The following is a 19,043-nucleotide window of genomic DNA, read 5'->3' on the forward strand; positions in this document are numbered from 1 at the left end:
TGTGGAGCTGTCTGTGTAACTCTCCTAATCTTTGCAGCTGTGGGCATGTCTTTTTAGGAAAGCACAAAGTGCAGCTTCTCTTGTTTGTGCAACTGTGGGTATGTTTGGGTAAGGCCCCACCCCCTCCCCATGCAAGTTCCCATGGAGCCTCCCATGTACATACCTGAAAAGGGGAAGAAACTTTTTCCTGGGAGCCTGCTGATTACACCAAGAACAAAGGCTGCTGTGTTGGGTCTTGCTTTCTTATCTGTGCAGCTGCAGCCTGAGTTTTCCCCAGGCTGCTGTTTGTGCCTATAGCTTTGATTTTTCAGGCTGTTTCTCTGTTTGAAGGAGTTTTACCAAGGACCCATCTTTAGCTGTCTGCCCAACTCATTTTTCCTTTTCTCCCTCACCAGCACACTGCTCCTTCCCCAGCGCTGCTCTCTAGGATGGGTGTGAGTAGCAGAAGGTTCTGCTTTCTCAGAGATCACTTACTCCTGCCTCTATCTCACCTCTCCAGCCCACAGTTTTCTTCTTCTCTTCTGTGTCTTATGGGGGAAAAATAATCCCGACTCCTAAAGTGTTCTTCACAAATCTTGCTTATACCCATGAAATGGCTTTGGAATTTAAAATGAAGATTCAGAAGTTGTGTTCACCGATTTCACACCAAAGATCTTTCCTTAAAGTGATGGTGACTAACATTGAGTGTTCAGGCTTAGGGCAAGGCGTCAATGTAAAAATGAGTAAATTTGATAAAGCATAGAGCAGGAGGGTACACATAAGTTATAAGTCCACAATATCATGCCACCACAAAACCATGAGAAAAAAAAGTTTAGTAAATGATAGGGAAGGTATCCACACACTCTAAAAGCACAGATCAAAACATCTCATTGGATTCAAAAGCTGATAGATGATATAATTGCATTTTATATGACACTCTTGCAAAGGCAAAATTATAGGGACAAAAAATATAGATTATATACATACAGTGGAATATTATTCAGCCATGAAAAAGAATGAAGTACTGATGCTTGCTACAATGTGGATGAACCTTGAAAACATTATGCTAAGTTAAAGCCAGATACAAAAGGTCATATATGATTCCATCTGTATAAAATATCCAGACTAGATAATCCACAGAGACAGAATACAGATTGATAGTTACCAGGGACTGGGGAGCAAGAAAGAGGGAGATAACTGTAAGGAATTTTACTTTGAAGTTATGGAAATGTTTTCAAACTAGACAGGGGTAGTGTTGCACAACATTGTGAATGTATTAAATGTCACAGAATTGTTCACTTTAAAATGGTTAGTTTTATGTTATATGAGTTTCACTTCAGTAAATTATTTTTTTTAAATCAGTGGTAGCCAGGGGTTGGGAAGAGACTTGACTATAAAGGGGCACAGGACTACTTTGGAAGATGATGGAATTATTCTGTATCTTGATTGTGGCAGTAGTTACACAGCTATCTAATTAGTCAAATGTAGAAACTATACATTTGAATAGTTTCGCATCTATTTTATAAAACTATATACAAATAAGCATGATTTTACTGTGTGTAAATTATAGTTTAATTTCTAAATGGAGGGAGAGAACCATCCAACAGATAGAAGTGAAATAAATATTACTAAATCCTGCGACAGGTTATTTTACTAGAGAATGACTAATAGGGTCATTAAAAGATTTTTTTTAGTTTCAATCTAATAAAATAAAAATTTACTGGCTACTATAGGATGGAATTTATACTGTCATTTTTCATCATCCTGTTAGTCACTGTTTAAAAATTTGGTGTGTATCAATGTGTTAGAGAACTTAACTAAGATTTTTAAAGATAACTATGTAAATATATCAATACTAACTCTCTAAATAAAGGAAACTGTACACTTAAAAGCAATCATTGAGGCATGAGGTCAAGTAGGTTATTTGTGAAATAATGTAGCGCAGAACTCCAAAGTCAATCATAGCAAGACAATTTAAACTATCCTGACCTAATAATTTCAAACATATTTTATTCATTTCAAAGGTGTTCTGGCTATCCATTGCTGCTTAACCAGTCCAAAACTTATTGGCTTAAAACAATTTTAGTATTATCTCCCACAATTCTGAAGGTTGAATGGGCTCAGCTGGACAGTTCTCATCCAGGGACGTCATGTTGCAGTCAAATGGAGGAGTGAGTTTCAATCTGTAAGCTCAGTGGGCCTGACGTTCACTGTGCCTCACTCCTGTGATGGCAGTTGAAGCTAGTTGTTGGCCAAGAGCCCAGCAGTGGTCTGGGAAAGCACATCACATAGCCTATATGTGGCCTCTTCATGTAACCTGAGCTCCACCCAGCACAGTAGCTGGGATCCCGGAGGAAGTATCCCAAGAGCAAGCATTCCAAGAGGCTTGGATAGAGGCTGTAAGACCTGACCCAGCCTTGGAAGTCACACAGTATCATTTCCACCTCACTTTATTGGTCAAAAAGCAAGTCACAGGGCCAGCCCAGACTCAAGGGTAGGGAACTACACAAGAGTACTAGGAGGCATGTTTCACTGGGGACCATCACTGGAAACTAGCTTCCAAAAGAACCATCAATATTTATGAGGATCTTGGAATGATATTAAGTTTTCAGCTGTATCATTTTGGCAATTTTTTAATAAAAATTAGTCCCAATTTTAGAAAGCATACATCTTGGCAACTAACTACTGTCTAGTTTATTCATTCAACAAAAATTTACTGAGTGCCTACTATGTGCCAATCACTGTGCTAGGTCTGGAGGATAAGTGGATAATTAAGACGTGAAATCTGTCTTCTTGGAGCTTAGAGTCTTAGAGTGTGCATCATGGAAAGAAAAATTCCACAGACTCTGTTGGAGTGCAAAGGAAAGAGTTGGTTCTCCCTAAAGTGGAGTAAAGGAATGTTAGGAAATGCTTTAGAGAGAAGGGATTCATGGGGGAAAGTTTTTAAAAAAAAAATTTTAAGTTGACAGGTAAAATTATTTGTATTTACCATGTAAAACACATTGTTTTGAGGTATATGTACATTGTAGAATGCTACCTTTAGTTAAGTAACATGCATTATCTCACATAGGTATAAGTTTTGTGGTGAAAACACTTTAAATCCACTCTCTTAGCATTATTCAAGAATATATTAACTATAGACACCACGTCATACAATGGATATCTTAAACTTATTCATCCTTTCTAACTGAAATTTTGTATCCCCTGCTCCTCCAACCAGCTCAGATCCTGGTAACCACCATTATATTCTCTACCTCTACGAGACCACCTTTCTCACATTTCACATATGAATGAGATCATGTAGTATTTGTATTTCTGTGCCTGGCTTATTTAACATAATGTTCTCCAGATTCATCCATGTTGTTGCAAATGACAGGGTTTCTTCTATGATGAATAGATTTCCATTGTGTATATATACCATATTTTTAAATCCTTCATTCATTGACAGATACTTAGGTTGATTCCGTATCTTGGCTACTGTGAATAATGCTGCAATAAACATGGGAGTGCAGATGTCTGTTCGACAAGTTGATTTGATTTTCTTTAAATATATATCCAGTAGTGGGATTGTTGGATCACATGATGGTTCTGTTTTTAATTTTTTGAGGAACCTCTATCCTGTTTTCCATAATGGCTATACTAATTTAAGATTTCCACCAATAGGGCATGAGGGTTCTCTTTTATCCACATTCTCACCAACACTTGTTACCTTTTGTCTCTTTGATAATAGCCATTCTAACAGGGTAAGGTAGTATCTCATTGTGGTTTTAATTTGCATTTCCCTGATAATTAGTGATATTGAGCATTTTTTTCACATACCTGTTGGTTATTTGTATATCTTCTTTTGAGAAATGTCTGTCCAGGTCCTTTGTCCATTTTTAAATAGGTTATTTCTTTTCTTGCTATTGAGTTGAGTTTCTATATATTTTGGATATTAACCCTTTATGAGATGTATATGCAAATTTTTCTCCCATTCTGTAGGTTGTCTCTTCACTGTTTCCTTTGTTGTGCAGAAGCTTTTTAATATAATGTAATTTGTCTATTTTTCCTTTGTCACCTGTGCTTTTGGGGGTCATATTTTAAAAATCATTGCCTAGACCAATGTCATGGAGATTTTCCCGTTTTCTTTTAGTAGTTTCATAGTTTCAGGTCTTACATTGAAGTCTTTAAACCATTTTGAGATTATTTTTGTCTGTGGTATTAAATAAAGGTCTAATGTCATTCTTCTGCATGTGGATATCCAGTTTTCCCAACACCCTTTATTGAAGAGACTGCCCTTTCCCCATTGTGTGTTCTTGGTGCATTTGTTAAAAATCAGTTGGCTGTAAAAGCATGTATTTCTTTCTGAACTTTCCACTCTATTCCATTTGTCTACATGTCTGTTTTTGTGCCAGAACTATGTTGTTTCGGTTTGTAGTATATTTTGAAGCCAGGTAGTGCAATGCCTTCAGCTTTGTTCTTTTTGCTCAAAATTGTTTTGGCTATTCAGGGTCTTTTGCGATTCTGTACAAATTTTAGGATTGTTTTTTCAATTTCTGTGAAAAATGTTATTTTGATAGAGATTATGCTGAATCTGTAGGTGATTTTGGGTAGTATGGACATTTTATCAACATTAATTTATTCAGTCCATGAACACAGATATCTTTCCATTTATTTGTGTCCTCTTGAATTTCTTTGAGTGATGTTTTATAGTTTTCAGAACTTTTACCTCCTTGGTTAAATTTACTCCTATGTATTTTTTTAGACAAATGGAATTACATAACATTAAAAAGCTTCTTCACAACGAAGGAAACAATAAACAGAGTGAAGAGACAACCTACAGAATGGGAGAAAAAATTGCAAACTATACATCTAATAAGGGGTTAATATCCAAAATATATAGAAACTCAAACAACTCAATAGCAAGAAAACAAATAACCCACTTAAAAATGGGCAAAGGACCTAAACAGACATTTCTCAAAAGATATACAAATAACAGATATATGAAAAAATGCTCAACATCTTATATACTGGGTTATTTTAAGCTGATAACAACTTTGATTCCACTTCAAAAAACTTTGCCCTTTTACTCAAGCTCCCCACTCCCACATTTTGAATTTTTGATGTCACAATTTGTATCATTTTAAATTGCATATTCCTTAACGAATTATTGTAGCTGTTATTTTTAATAGTTTTGTCTTTTAACCTTCATAATAATTTGTATACCACAATTATTCTAAATTTAGTACTTTTACCAGTCAGTTTTATACTTTCAGATGTTTTTGTGTTACTCATTAGCATCATTTTCCTTTAGCTTGAGGAACTCCTCTTTAGCATTTCTTGTAAGACAGGTCTGGTGATGATGAACTCCCTCAGCTCTTATTTGTCTGGAAGTCTTTATTTCTGCTTCATTTCTGAAGAACATATTTGCTGGGTATATTATTTTGGTTGACAATACTTTTCCTTCAGTACTTTGAATATATCATCCCGCTCTCTCCTGCCCTTTAAGGTTTCTGCTGAGAAGTCTGCTGCAAGTCATATTGCAACTCCCTTATATGTTATTTACTTATCTCTTGCTGCTTTCAGGATTCTCTTTGTCTTTGGTTTTTTTACAGTTTTAGTATAATGTCTTGGGGTAGTCTAATTTGGATTGAATCTGATTGGAGACCATCGACCTTCTTGTACCTGAATATTTGCACCTTTCTTTATTATGTATATATACCACATTTTGGTTTGGAAAATTTTCTGCTACCATCTCTTTAAACAGGCTTTCCACTCCCTTATTTTTCTCTTCTTCTTAAACTATTACTTGAGTATTTGCTCTTTTGATGCTGTTCCATAAATCCCATAAGCTTGCCGGAGGCGGTGGCTCATGCCTGTAATCCCGACACTTTGGAAGGCCAAGGCGGGTGGATTACCTGAGGTCGAGAGTTCAAGACTAGCCTGACCAACATGGAGAAACCCTGTCTCTACTAAAAATACAAAATTAGCCAGGGTGGTGCGCATGCCTGTAATCCCAGCTACTCAGGAGGCTGAGGCAGGAGAATCGCTTGAACCTGGGAGGCAGAGGTTGCAGTGAGCCAAGATCACGCCATTGCACTCTAGCCTGGGCAACAAGAGCAAAACTCCATCTCAAAAACAAAAAACAAAACAAACAAAAAAAAACAAAAACCAACCGTAAGCTTTCTTCATTCTTTTTTATTCTGTTTTCTCCTCTGATTGTATATTTTCAAATAACCTGTCTTTGAGTTCATAGATTCTTTCTTCTGCTTAATCAGTTCTGCTATTGATGCTCTCTATTGCATTTCTCATTCTGGTCACTTATTTTCTTCATTTCATTGAAATGTTTCTCTGTATTGTTTTGAAGTCAAAGAGTTTCATTAAGAGTTATTTTAAATTCTTTGTCAGGTTGTTCATACATCTTCATTTCTTTAACACCAGTCACTGGCATCTCATTTTGTCCATTTGGGATCTCACGTTTGCCTAATTGTTCTTGAGCCTTGTGGCTGTGCACCAATGTCAGCATATTTGAAGAAATAGGTACTTATTCTAGCTTTCAGAGACTGGCTTTGTTCGGAAAAGCCCTGCAGCAGGGACAGCACCAGGGTGCATCAGAATTCTAGTGCCTGCTATGGCCAGTGTGGCACAGCCAGAAGCCCAGGACCTGCTGTGACAAGCATTGCACTGCTATACACCAGACACCCAGGGACACTGAGGGCTGCCAGACATGATCAAAGCATGGAGCCACTGATGTTTGCTCAGCAGTGGTGTGGGCCAAAGATCAAGTCCACTACACAAGCCTGAAGCCTTGGGCTCTGTGGTCCTGCTTGGGACTGGGGTGGATCTCAAGGCTTCATTCTTGGGTACCAGCCTGGAGTCTGGAGCCATGAGGGGCCTTCTCAGTGCTGAGTTTTATTGTTATGGGCCTGGTGTTGGAGTCCAGCCAAAGTCCTGTGCTCAATTCCCTCTCTTTCTCCCAAGCGAATTATATCTGTCTCTGCACTATGCTGCCTGGGCTTGGAGAAAGAATAACACATGTAAAACTGTTCTTCCTGCCCACTTCAATGCATCTTTTCTTGTTATTGTGCTACAACAAGGTACTATAATCTCTCAACTGGTTTCCTTACTCTTGTGAAGGTATTTTCATGTGTAGGTGGTTGTTCAAATTGATGTTTCTCTGGGGTGAAAATCACTGAACAGTTCTCCACCATCTTGCTGCAACCTCCCTCCCATGAGAGGAGTCTTGACAAATAAGGATATATTTCAAAATCCTTACCATATGTTTGGGATAAGAGTTAGAGTGGGATGGAAGGAGTGTGAGGAAGAGAGAGGGCATTCCAAACAGAGAAAGCCAGCAAAAACAAAGGTGAGGAGGCACAGTACATATTTAGGGTACCAGAAGCAATTCCACATGATTAAGAATCAGAATTCAGGAAGAACTTATAGACATGGGCATCAATCTTGCAGTCTTACACAGATGTGTTTAATTTGGTACAAAGGTTATATTTTTTTTTTTCACTTTAATAATGAACATTTAAAAACGCAATGATTGGCTGGGCACGGTGGCTCACACCTGTAATCCCAGCACTTTGGGAGGCCAAGACAGGTGCGTCACAAAGTCAGGAGTTTGAGACCAGCCTGGTCAACACGGTGAAACCCCGTTACTACTAAAAATACAAAAATTAGCCAGGCGTGGCGGCAGGCACCTGTAATCCCAGCTATGTGGGAGGCTGAGGCAGGAGAATCACTTGAACCCAGGAGGCAGAGGTTGCAGTGAGCCGAGATTGCACCACTGCACTCCAGCCTGGGTGACACAGTGAGACTCAAAATAAAAAATGAGTTTTAATGTTTTAAAATTAGTTTCTAACACTTAGTAAACTTAGTAAACTTAGTTTGATGTAAAAATCCAGCTTCTCATGAAAAAAGAAGTTGTTACTTTGGCCACGCTAAGCCCAAATTCCCACTCACCAGTAATTGGCTGGAGCCAAAGAGTGGCTGTCTTGGTTCATTCAGGCTGCTGTAACAAAACACTGTAGACTGTAGCTTAAACAACAGACATTTATTTCTCACAGTTCTGGAGGATGAGAAGTCCGAGATCAAGGCACTCCGATTCAGTGTCTGGTGGGGGCTCATTTCCTTATTCATAGAGGGCCGTGTTCTTGCTGTGCCTCACATGGTGGAAGGGACAAAGGGACTCTAGGGTCTCTTTTGTAATGGTAAAAACCCCATTTGTAAGAGCGCCATCCTTATGACTTAATCACCTGCCAAAAGCCCTACTTCCTAATGCCATCAAATCAAGGATTGGGATTTCAACATGTGAATGTTGAAGAGAAAATCTGGTCTGTAGCAACCGTTCACCCTTTTCAATGGGATTATGAATCCTCTAGTTCACAGTAGCCCTACCTAGTCACCACTATACCCTCCACTGTAGACCTTTGAGTCTGAGACCCCTGAGAAAGCTAAGATGTATAGTTGAGGAAGGGAGAACAAGTAACAAACTTTAATCTTTTATGCTATGCTAAAGATTTTAGCTTTATCCTCTGGGCATTGGGGAGCTAGTAAGGAGTATTCAACAGGGAAGTGAGATGATCAGATATGCATTTTAAAGTGATTCCTTCAACATCATCAAAATATTCACATGGAGAAGGCATTGGAGAAGTGTATGACCAGGAGGAAGCAGGCAGGTGGAAAACTCAAAGGATGAAAAATAATAAGGTCTGAACTGGAGCCGTCAGCATGGGAATGGACAGAAGGAGGCCAAAACAGGAAGTATTAAAAAGCTGAAAAGGCAATACTAAATCACCAGTTAAATACACAGTGACAGGGAAGGAAGAGCTACGATGACTCTCAGGTGTGAGGTTACAGAGATATGGAGGAGAGGCAAATTTAAGAAAGAGACACTAAGTTCAGTCTTGTACATGTTGATTTTTACCGCTCAGGGACCATCAGGATGGAGGTGTTTGTATACATGAATCTGAAACTCAGAAGACAGAGAACGGCCAGAGGTGGTGATTAGGAATTCACTGGATGGCTGGCAGCTGAAACCACAGGAGCAATAAGACAGCTAAAGACAAGCATGTGGAGTTAGGAGACAGCCCAGCAAAGGATCTGCAGGACAGTCAGAGGACCGTCTGAGGAAAGGAGCTAGGACAGGAAATCACATGGAATTGCATCCAGTGCTTCTTAGATTATAAACAAGTCTTATAATGATAAGATTGTTCTTGTGCTTTTCTCCTTTGTTGTCAAAACAAAATGCAATCTGATTTGGGATTTATATTCTTACCCTAAGAAATCTAGCTAGCAAGGGAAAAAAATTGTTTCTATTCTTAAAGGAGAAACATAGTTCTGATTTTCTAATTTTATATTTACCTTCTGGAAAAAAAAAACCTTTTTCTTATTTAATTTTACAGAGGATAAAAAAGAAGTAAGAAAATAGAGTCTCTGAATATAGATCTTTCAACTGAAAAACTGGGCTGTGAAGGTAAAAGTGATATGGGACTAGGTGGATTTTTTTTGGTTTGGGGGTGTGGCAGTTGTTTTGTTTTGTTTTTGTGCTTTTGTGTTTGTTTTTGTTTTAATATTGGAGAGACTTGAGCTCTTCTATGGACTCTGAAAAGCCAATACTGAAGAAAAGGCAGAGGAGAGAGGAGTAACCAATGCTGCAAGGTTCCACAGAAGAGAAGGGGTTTTCATTATAGAAGAGATGCCTCATTTGGACTAGAGGAAAAAACACATGAGTGTTGTTAGGGGCAGATAGAAGGCCAGATCACCAGCTGAGAAAGCAGGGGAGTGGGGCTACTTCTTGAAGACAATGGCAAAGCTCATGGGAGGAAGTGGGGGATAAGCAAAAAGACAAGTGGGCACAGGACTCTAGTCAAGGCGTTTTCACTTTCCATTTGCCTATTTCATAGAGAAAGGCTTTTAACTGCCTTCTATCTAAATTGAATAAAAAGAAAGTGACAAACTTAAAAGGAAATAAGAAATGGACAAGATGATATATACTATGTAATTAAGAAGAGGGTAAGTTTATAATTATCCATTTGCTTATTTATTTTTCATCACTATTTTTTAAGACAGGGGTCTTGCTGTGTTGCCTGGGCTGGTCTTGAACTCCTGTGCTCAAGCCATCCTTCTGCCTCAGCCTCACAAGCTCGTTCACTTATTCATTCAACAGATGGTAAACAGACCAAATTCCCACCTCATTGAGCATACATTTTAGTCCTCTCCATATACAGTCATCCCTTGGTATCTCAAAGGGATTGGTTCCAAGATACCCTATCCCCACCTCTGCCACCCTCACCCCCCAGCAGATACTAAAGTGCTCAAGTCCCATAGCCGGCCCTGTAGAACCCAATGATAGGAAAAGTTGGCCCCCCATATATGTGGGTTCTGTATCCCGTGAATACTATATTTTCAATCCATGGCTGGTTGACTCTGTGGATGCAAAACCAGTGGAGACAGAGAGCCAATTGTATACCAAGACAGTCCTTGCTAAATTTCATTAAAACTGTTTGGTTTTACCAGGACCCACTGCTGTACAGGGCATGCCAAGAGATAGACTCTCTTTCTAATCCAGGGCTGTTTTCTGAAGCGCAAACAAGTGTGAATCAGCTACAGTTTGGACAGGTTGGCTAATACTCATGCAAATAAAGCTGGAAGGGCATTTCAGAAAAACAATGCCATCACTCAGTTGGAATTTCACCAGGCTTCCAGACTTAGTCTCTGAAAGAATTAGTGTTTTCTAATAATCCACCTGACAGATTATGTTCAGAATGTGATTTTCTGATTAAGGCACTAAGCACAAAACTACTTCTGGACTAAGCAGCCGCCAGACACTGCAAAATCAATGCAAGTTCCCCCAGGTGTTTGCTGCGGAAGCTGAAAGGGGCAAAGGGATGTGGCCATATCCTTTCTGGCCAAGTTTCAGGATACATAGATTTAAAGGACAGAACTGTAACCAGGATTTGGCCACCTCGGGAAGGAACGTGATGTTTGGACAACATCCTTCCCAGACTGAAAGCTGCTCAGACATGGATCGTCATTCCAGGCATTTGGCATGCTGGTTTGCACTAGCAGCCAAGTGCATAATTGCCAGGAAGTGGCCAAATCCACAGAGACACCACTCACTCCTGAATGCTGAAAAATGTTTGTAATATACGGTAATAAATGCAAGCCTGACTCACTTAATCAGATTTGAATCCCGGACTGGGGATTTCTGCACAAGAGGGAGATGTTTACTGAAATCCTGCTTTTCTCGGCTGCCATCTCCCATTCCAGGAAGAACAGAACTACTGGATGGCCTTGCCATTTCTGTTTTATATTTTTGGTCATTAATATGGATTCTTATAAGACATGGGTTCTCAACTCATTCTGAATGTACTTCAGTATGAAGTGATTAAAATAAGGCTCTTTCTCCTTATTTTAGATTATATTTAAGCAGAACTAAGTGCTGGGCACAGTGGCTCACGCCTGTAAATGCAGGCCTTTAGGAGGCCAAAGCGGGCAGATTGCCTGAGCCCAGAAGTTCAAGACCAGCCTGGGCAACATGGTGAAACCTTGTCTCTACAAAAAACACCAAAAAAAAGAAATTAGCTGTGCGTAGTGGCACGTGCCTGTGTCCCACCTACTCGGAAGACTGAGGTGGGAGGATCGCTTGAGATTGGGAGGTTGAAGCTGCAGTCAGTCATGATTGTGCCACTGCACTCCAGCCTGGATGACAGAGCAAGACCCTGTCTCAAAAAATAAATAATAAAATAAGATAAAATGAACTAAGTATTCCTGAAAGATAGAGATTTAAGAGTATCACGCCATTCTCCATTCCTGGCAAATTTAACTACCCAATCTCATCTCATTACCAAAACCAACAAGATGAGATGGGGAAAAGATGCCAGTTACACTCTCCTGTGAGAGTTGTCTGATTCAAGACCTGTCTGGGCTTGGAGCAGTTGGGTAGGTGAATAGCCCAGCTTCCGAAGCTGGCTGAACTTTCCCCTAAAATTAAGTTGGGAATCATGTTGGTTCCAAGCTGATTATCCCAGCATCCTTGACATACAGCCTTAGTTCCTCAAGTTCAGAAATCTGACTTCCCCAAAGATTAACCCAGCCCCAGTCAACTGATTGATACCAAACTCAGCAGGAAATCCTCTGAGTTCAGAAGTCAGTTCATCCATTTTCAAGTGGCAATTTCATTCTACCTGCCACAGATGAGGGAATTATCATTCAGGTTAAGTATCTCGGTGATTTATCCAAGGACACGTGGCTAATTGCTGAAATAGGACTTGAATCCGGTCTTTTGAGTTCAGAGCCCTTTTCCTTTCTGCTAGAGCACCTTGCCTTCCTGGTGGAAACCCCACATGCAAGTACGAGAGATTACAGCGTGGCTTCCAAGAAGAGCAAACTGCACTTTGGGGAAGGGGGAGAGACAACAGGGTAAGGCAGGCCATGTGAAGAGAGACGCAGTGGATGGCAGATCCTGTGTCACTGAGGTCAGGAGCCAGAGTCCAGGTCCAAGGCAGGCCAAGGATTGGAGGAAATAGCAAGAGACTGTTAGGGCCCATTAGGAACTAGGAAACAAATGAAATAGAAACTGTCTCAGGAATACAGCCAAAGCCAGGTTAGGAAAACTGGGCACGAGGGTATGGGGAGGACCCACCACCACAATGATTAACCTCTGGCTGGGTTTCAGAGCATCCTACCCCAGCTCCTTCAATCCCCCCTTGTGATATCTTGTGATCTCTTTCAACCACAGGAGAAAGGAAGAAATAGTCTTCAGCCAGAGCAGAGCAGAGCCTGTAGATGGAGCCAAGTAGCTGCCAGCTAGGGGCTGAGAGGCAAGGCAAGACCCACAGGCTAGGAGATTACTGCAATGCTCACTCCAGCCATCGGAGGTCAAAATTCTTCTCTACATAGTGTATTTCTTGACTATTTTAAAACGTGTTGTTGATTGTTTTACTTCTGTAACATTTTCCTAAAGATGGCTTGAGAGAGGGTGACCCTGTATAATTAACCATTCAAAGCAGGAGGCTTGCAAGAGTGAAAGGGAGAGCTGTTAATAATTATGCCAGTACGACAGTCACAAACCAGGACTAACCTATGCCGATGAGGACACACGGTCAGCCTCAGCTTGAGACCAAGCTCTCAGGACTCACCCAGGCCTGAGCACAGCTAGCAGAGGGTGAGGTAATCTTGCTAGGATTGTTTACAGGAGAGGCCAGAGGACTCCTGGGAAGTAACTCACCCTAAGGGAAGAGAAAGTCAAAGCACACAAATTGAGTTCAGTGACATCAAGACAGGGCCAGAGGGGAGGGACGAGTCTTGGTGCCTCCCAGTGGTGGTCAGCCCCAGCGCCCTCTGATCCAGGTGCCATGGATCTTAAAAGCAGATGAAACTAAAAAGAGCTGTTTTGTTAAAATTTCCGCAGGACCTTGAAGTTGCAAGGATTAGCAAAATCCTGTGCCAGCAATATCAGCAGCAACAGAGAAGGTGCAGCTGGCATTGCAGTAAAGTGGGACATTGGTGGGCTTGGGCAGTGATCTGAGACTTTACCCCAGCAAAGGAGAGCCAGAAGATGGTGGGTGCCTTGCTCTTATATCTTAGAGGATACAGAGGCCATCCTGGAGGACTCACTGAACTATTATGAGGAGTAGAGAGACTGCAGTTTCACACAGTGAAGAGAGGAAGAACCAGAGAAATAATATTTTGTAAAGGATAATAACTGTGACTTTAATTTCATTCCCAATCTGTGATGTTTGGAAAACTCAGGTAATATTTCTTTCATCAGAGTGTGAGGTACTCACATCAGAGTGTGAGGTACTCACTGATGTTATGTCTAAATTAGAGAACCTTCTTAATTTGGAGCCACTCAGTTTATATTAGTATGGTCTAGAGTAGGCACATACTCCCAAAATATATACATTGCAATTATATGTGCATTTATAAAATAATGCAGCAAAATATTTACACATGGTTAATTAACATGTAATATAGAAACATTTTCTAAAAGGTCCTAAAAATTATGGGCTTTTGCTATCTCTTAAAGAATGTCATCTACTGATTCTAATATTCAACTGGTTAGTCTTTCAACCATTTGAAATTAAATGCTGCTTTGAAATAGCTCACTCACTAAATAGCTAAAGTGATAACACAGACACTACACAGGCAAAGATGTTGAGCTAGAATTATAACACAGTGCTAGTGGGAATGTGAATTCATATAAGCTCTTTGGAAAACTGTTTGGCAGTATCGACTAAAAGATGAACATACGCACTTCCACTCCTGTTATATACCCAACAGCAATGTATACAACATGTTTACCAAAAGACATAGAAAAGAATGTTTATAGCAGCACTTCATAATAGCCCCAAACTGGAAATGACCCAACAGTAGATTGGATGAATAACTTATGATATATTCATACAATGGAATACTGCCATGAGAACAAACAAGTACAACCACACACAATAACATGAATGAATCTCACAAACAAAGTCAAGCAAAAGAAGCCAGACACAAAAGATTCCATTTAGATAGAATTCGCAAACAAGCGAAATTAAGCCATGGCATCAGGAGAGAAAAGAGATGTTACCCTGGGAAGGGGCTAGTGGATGGGGACACAAAGGAGGCTCTGGGTGCTGGGAATGTTCCATTTCTTGATCTGGGTGCTGGTTACGCGGGTATGAAAATTTATCGATCCTATTATTAATTGTCCTTTGTGCTGCATTCTACTAGGTGAACTAGTCACTAGGGCCAGCCCATGTTTAGGAAGAGAGTATTGGACTCCACCTCTTTATGGGGAGTGGCAAGCTACATCACAGCAGAGTAAGTGGGATGAATGATACTGTTATGAAAACACAATTTATTCCTATTATAAAATACAATAGAATTTTTCAAATTTAATGAATATTTTAAATAAATTTTACAATCTACGCCAATTATCCAGTGCAAATTAGAACTCAGCATCATCTTGGGGTAAAGCAGAAAGCTTGGGAAGGTAAAGAAGAAAGTGAGAGCACCAGCCACTAAAGCACATGCTGCAGCTTGGGTCATATGCCTTCCCTGGACCCACAACTATGACCAGACAAATAGGGTAGAAATAGGGTACATTTACGAGTGAGTCCTAACCATGTGCCCAACAAGACCACATGAAATAAGAGAGGGGCAATTCTCCAAAGGGAGAAGCAATGGGGATACCAGATGTCTACTGCAGACCTCATGTACTGCATCTGATGGTCATACAAGAGAAATTCTTGTATTTTTTTAGAGATGGTCTTACTCTGTTCACCCAGGCTGGAGGGCCCTGGTGCCATCATAGCTCACTGTCACTTCAAACTCCTGGATTCTAGCAATCCTCCTGGCTCTGCCTCCCAAGTAGCTGGGGCTATGGAGCGCACCACCATGCCCAGCATCATGTGAGAAATCTTAAACTTGGTATGTCAAGAATGAGGAAGTATGTTCCTTCCAAATTACATTCAACTCTGAAACTCCAGCCTTCTCTACCTAACACATGTCAAATCCATTCGCATTAATATTAAAATATTTTTAAAATATGGATCTAGTGGTAAAACACCCATCCAAGTGCAACTATGGATAGGAATGATGTTTAATTTCTCCTTGAGCACTTCTCAACAGACTCACTTGTCTATGAACATGTGTTAACACTTTCCTCTCTGGTAGTTTGAAAAATCTTCCACATTGTTTTGCACACATACATTTCTGTTAACAGCCATGAGTCAGTCATACACCAAAAATTTAACTGAAGACTACAGGTGTGGCAGGCTGAACTTAACCCTCCCCTCTTCCTCTCAGGAGAGAATCTTGGGGAGTAGAGGCAAACCAGGTGACTCTGATGCCATCCAATCAGATGGCTCAGCCAGAGGCCTTGTCTGTTTATGTGGGACCCTCCATGATGAAGGGACCAAGCCGAGCAGAAGAGAGCGCATTAGCATTATAAGGCCAGAATCATTGCTTTGCAAGTAGACTTAAAAAATATATTAGAAGAAACACATACTTCTCTCAGAGACTAGCCCAGGGGTAGGCAAAATTTTTCTGTAAAGAGCCAGATAGTAAGTACTTCAGGCTTCCCAGCCATAAGGTCTCTGTTGCAACTACTCATCACTATTGTTGTAGTGCAAAAGCAGCCATAGATAATATCAGCAGAAAGGAGTGTGAAGCTTGACAAAACAGGCCTGTGGGTTTTGTCTCATCAGCCAACGTTTGCCAACCCCTGGACTACACGGGGGGAAGAAAAACACAGCTACAACACAGAGGTGAATTGTGTTTGTCACGGGCTAAAGAGAAAACCTGGGCAAACCCTGCCTGCAGAGAGAACAAATGGAAGCTGAAACACCCCTGATTTACCCTAGCCCCCCACCTCCTTCCTACTGTGGGACCAGAGCTGGTCCTCCCCTCTCTGCAGAGTCAGCAGGAGCTAGAACAGATTGGGGCTCTGCTCACATCCTGCTGACGCCAGAGGTGGCAGAATTTGCACGACACTCTAAGGGACTGGGATTTCCTTCATCACCGGGAGTGGGGTAGGGGAGACAATAGATTCTGAGGAAATGAGCAGACACCTAATGCTCAAGAATGAAAAGAAAATCTGGGGAGCTAACTCTGGGAGAATGGGGAGAAGGTGAGAGTTAGAGAGTGAGGGAGTACCCAACATCCTGAAGCCCACCCAGAAAGGACTTGTCCCCTGTGTCACACAGAGGTGTGAATTCGTTTACCTGGACCCTCTTCTTGGATCCTTCAACGTAGGAACTTCTTAAGCCCTCACAAGGTCCTGTTTCCCCTCCTCCCCCCCGTCCTCCTCCCCCAGTCAGCTCCTCCCACACTGGCCTCCTTGCTGTTCCTCAGACACACCCAGCCTTTGCATCTCCTTACTCTTGAAACTGAAAACTCTTCCCCTAAATATTCACATGGCTTACTCCCTCTCTTCATTCGGGTGCTTCTCAAATGACATCGCAGAGATGCCTTCTCTGACTTTTCTATCTAGAATAACATTCTCATGAGGCCCCACTCTTTTAATTTTTTCCCATAACATATATCACCACCTGACTATCACTCCCAAGAGCATGTGAACCCAAACGAAAGCAGCGATCTTGTCTATTTTATTCACTACAGTATTCCCAGCACCTTGAATAGTACCTGGGGTATAGATGGTGCTCATAAATATTTACTGAGTGAAGCCAGGCGTGGTGGCTCATGCCTGTAATCTCAGCACTTTGGGAGGCTGAGACAGGCAGATCACCTGAGGTCAGGAGTTTGAGACCAGCCTGGACAACATCATGAAATCCCATCTCTACTAAAAATAAAAAATTATCTGGGTATGGTGGCGGGCACCTGTAATCCCAGCTACTCGGGAGGCTGAGGCAGGAGAATCTCTTGTACCTGGGAAGCAACTGTTGCCATGAACCGAGGTTGCGCCACTGCACTCCAGCCTGGGGGACAAAGTGAGACTCTGTCTCAAAAAAAAAAAAAAAATTTCTGAGTGAATAGATGAAGTAAAATTTAACATGCCTGTGACGCTCAATTTTATGTGTGGTCTTGGCTGGGCCATGGGGCCCAGATATTTGGTCAAACATTATTCTAAATGTTTCTGTGAGACTGTTTTGTATGAGATTTACATGTAAATCAGTGGACTTTGATTAAAGACAATTGCTCTGCATATGTAGTTGGGCCTCATCCAATCAGTTGAAGGCCTGGATAGAACAAAAGACTGACCAGGCAAAAGGGAATTCTGCAGCAGACAGCCTTTGGACTTGAACTGCAGTGCCAGCTATTATGGGTCTCCAGCCTGCCAGCCCTGCAGAATGTGGACCTCCAAGCTTCCATAATTATATTAGCCAATTCCTTAATCTAAATATCTTGATCAATTGATAGATGATAGATAATGTGTATGTGTATGTGTGTGTATCTGCTACTGGTTCTGTTTCCTAGAGAACCCTAATACAATTTGTATCTGGCCTGAAGATGTATAAGAAGGTATTCAGAAAGTGGTGGGCCCTCTGCTCCATAATAATCCCATGGCCACCGGCCACCCACTGTGGAGAACTAACAGAACCAGCCCGTAGCCCATTAGACCAATCCCTGCCTCCTTTCCTATAACCCCAACTCACAAGAGTAACGAGATGTGACTATGCCACATAAAAAGAGGGCTTGCATGATTAACTATAGTGTTGCCTTCAGTTTTGGTTTTATTTTCTTCTATCAGTTGTTTTGTTGGAGGGTGGCTGTTTTTGCAGAGAAGGAATTCCCTTTGTTAATTTAAAAAGTGAAGATTATACAATTTTATTTCAAAAGCCTCAAACTTCAATGCCCATGGGACATTGAAGACAACAGAATTAAGCGAGATAAGGTTGTATATGGCAACAGGGAGTGATGAAGCTTATGGACAAATAATTTGGCCTAAAAGAGGTCTAATGGCCTTTCAAGGAATGGAAGAGAGAATTAAGGAAAGTAGTTCTGGCTTATTGTTTCCATGTGGGAAAACAGACCCTTTGCTGTGACATCAGATTTTTTTAGAGAAATCTACCCCACCCCACCCGCATGTTCCCTGCTTTTTTTTTTTTTTTTTTTTTTTTTTTTTTTTTTTTTTGTTAAGAGAGACAGGGTATGACTCTGTCGCCCAGGCTGGAGTGTTATGACTATAGCTCATGGCAGCATCAAACTCCTGGGCTCAAGTGATCCTCCCACATTGACCTCCTGAGTAAGCTGGGACTGCAGGTGCATGCCACCATGTCTGGCTAATATATATATATATATATATATATATATTTTTTTTTTTTTTTAGGGTAGAGATAGGATCTTGCTTTGTTCAGGCTGGTCTTGAACTCCTGGCTTCAAGCAATCCTCCTCCCTCGGCCTCCCAAAGTTCTGGGACTACAGGCATAATCCAACAAACCCAGCCATCTCCCCCTTTTTAATGTAGACTTTTCCAATGATTAGAACACTGTACAAGCTCCCAAGATGTCCTGACCAGATTCAGCCTGTTGGCCATCAATTTACCACCCATGCTTTGGTCTTTATTTCAATCCCATATTTGAAGCAATTAAGCAGAGAAAGGAAAGGTGAAAAGGGAGGGAGACAGA

The 19,043-nt window shown here is 41.0% G+C and overlaps 3 annotated features.

The window, feature by feature from the left end:
• Window positions 7,743–8,310: an enhancer, noted in NCBI's record as "OCT4-NANOG-H3K27ac hESC enhancer chr14:54828631-54829198 (GRCh37/hg19 assembly coordinates)". NCBI's record gives its function as "activates a minimal SCP1, AML or CMV promoter by ChIP-STARR-seq in naive and primed H9 embryonic stem cells {active_cell/tissue: H9 hESC(naive and primed)}" and the evidence as "EXISTENCE:reporter gene assay evidence [ECO:0000049][PMID:30033119]".
• Window positions 8,311–8,878: an enhancer, noted in NCBI's record as "OCT4-NANOG-H3K27ac hESC enhancer chr14:54829199-54829766 (GRCh37/hg19 assembly coordinates)". NCBI's record gives its function as "activates a minimal SCP1, AML or CMV promoter by ChIP-STARR-seq in primed H9 embryonic stem cells {active_cell/tissue: H9 hESC(primed)}" and the evidence as "EXISTENCE:reporter gene assay evidence [ECO:0000049][PMID:30033119]".
• Window positions 15,849–16,350: an enhancer, noted in NCBI's record as "H3K27ac hESC enhancer chr14:54836737-54837238 (GRCh37/hg19 assembly coordinates)". NCBI's record gives its function as "activates a minimal SCP1, AML or CMV promoter by ChIP-STARR-seq in naive H9 embryonic stem cells {active_cell/tissue: H9 hESC(naive)}" and the evidence as "EXISTENCE:reporter gene assay evidence [ECO:0000049][PMID:30033119]".

Source organism: Homo sapiens, chromosome 14 (genome assembly GCF_000001405.40).
Source record: "Homo sapiens chromosome 14, GRCh38.p14 Primary Assembly".
NCBI lineage: Eukaryota > Metazoa > Chordata > Mammalia > Primates > Hominidae > Homo > Homo sapiens.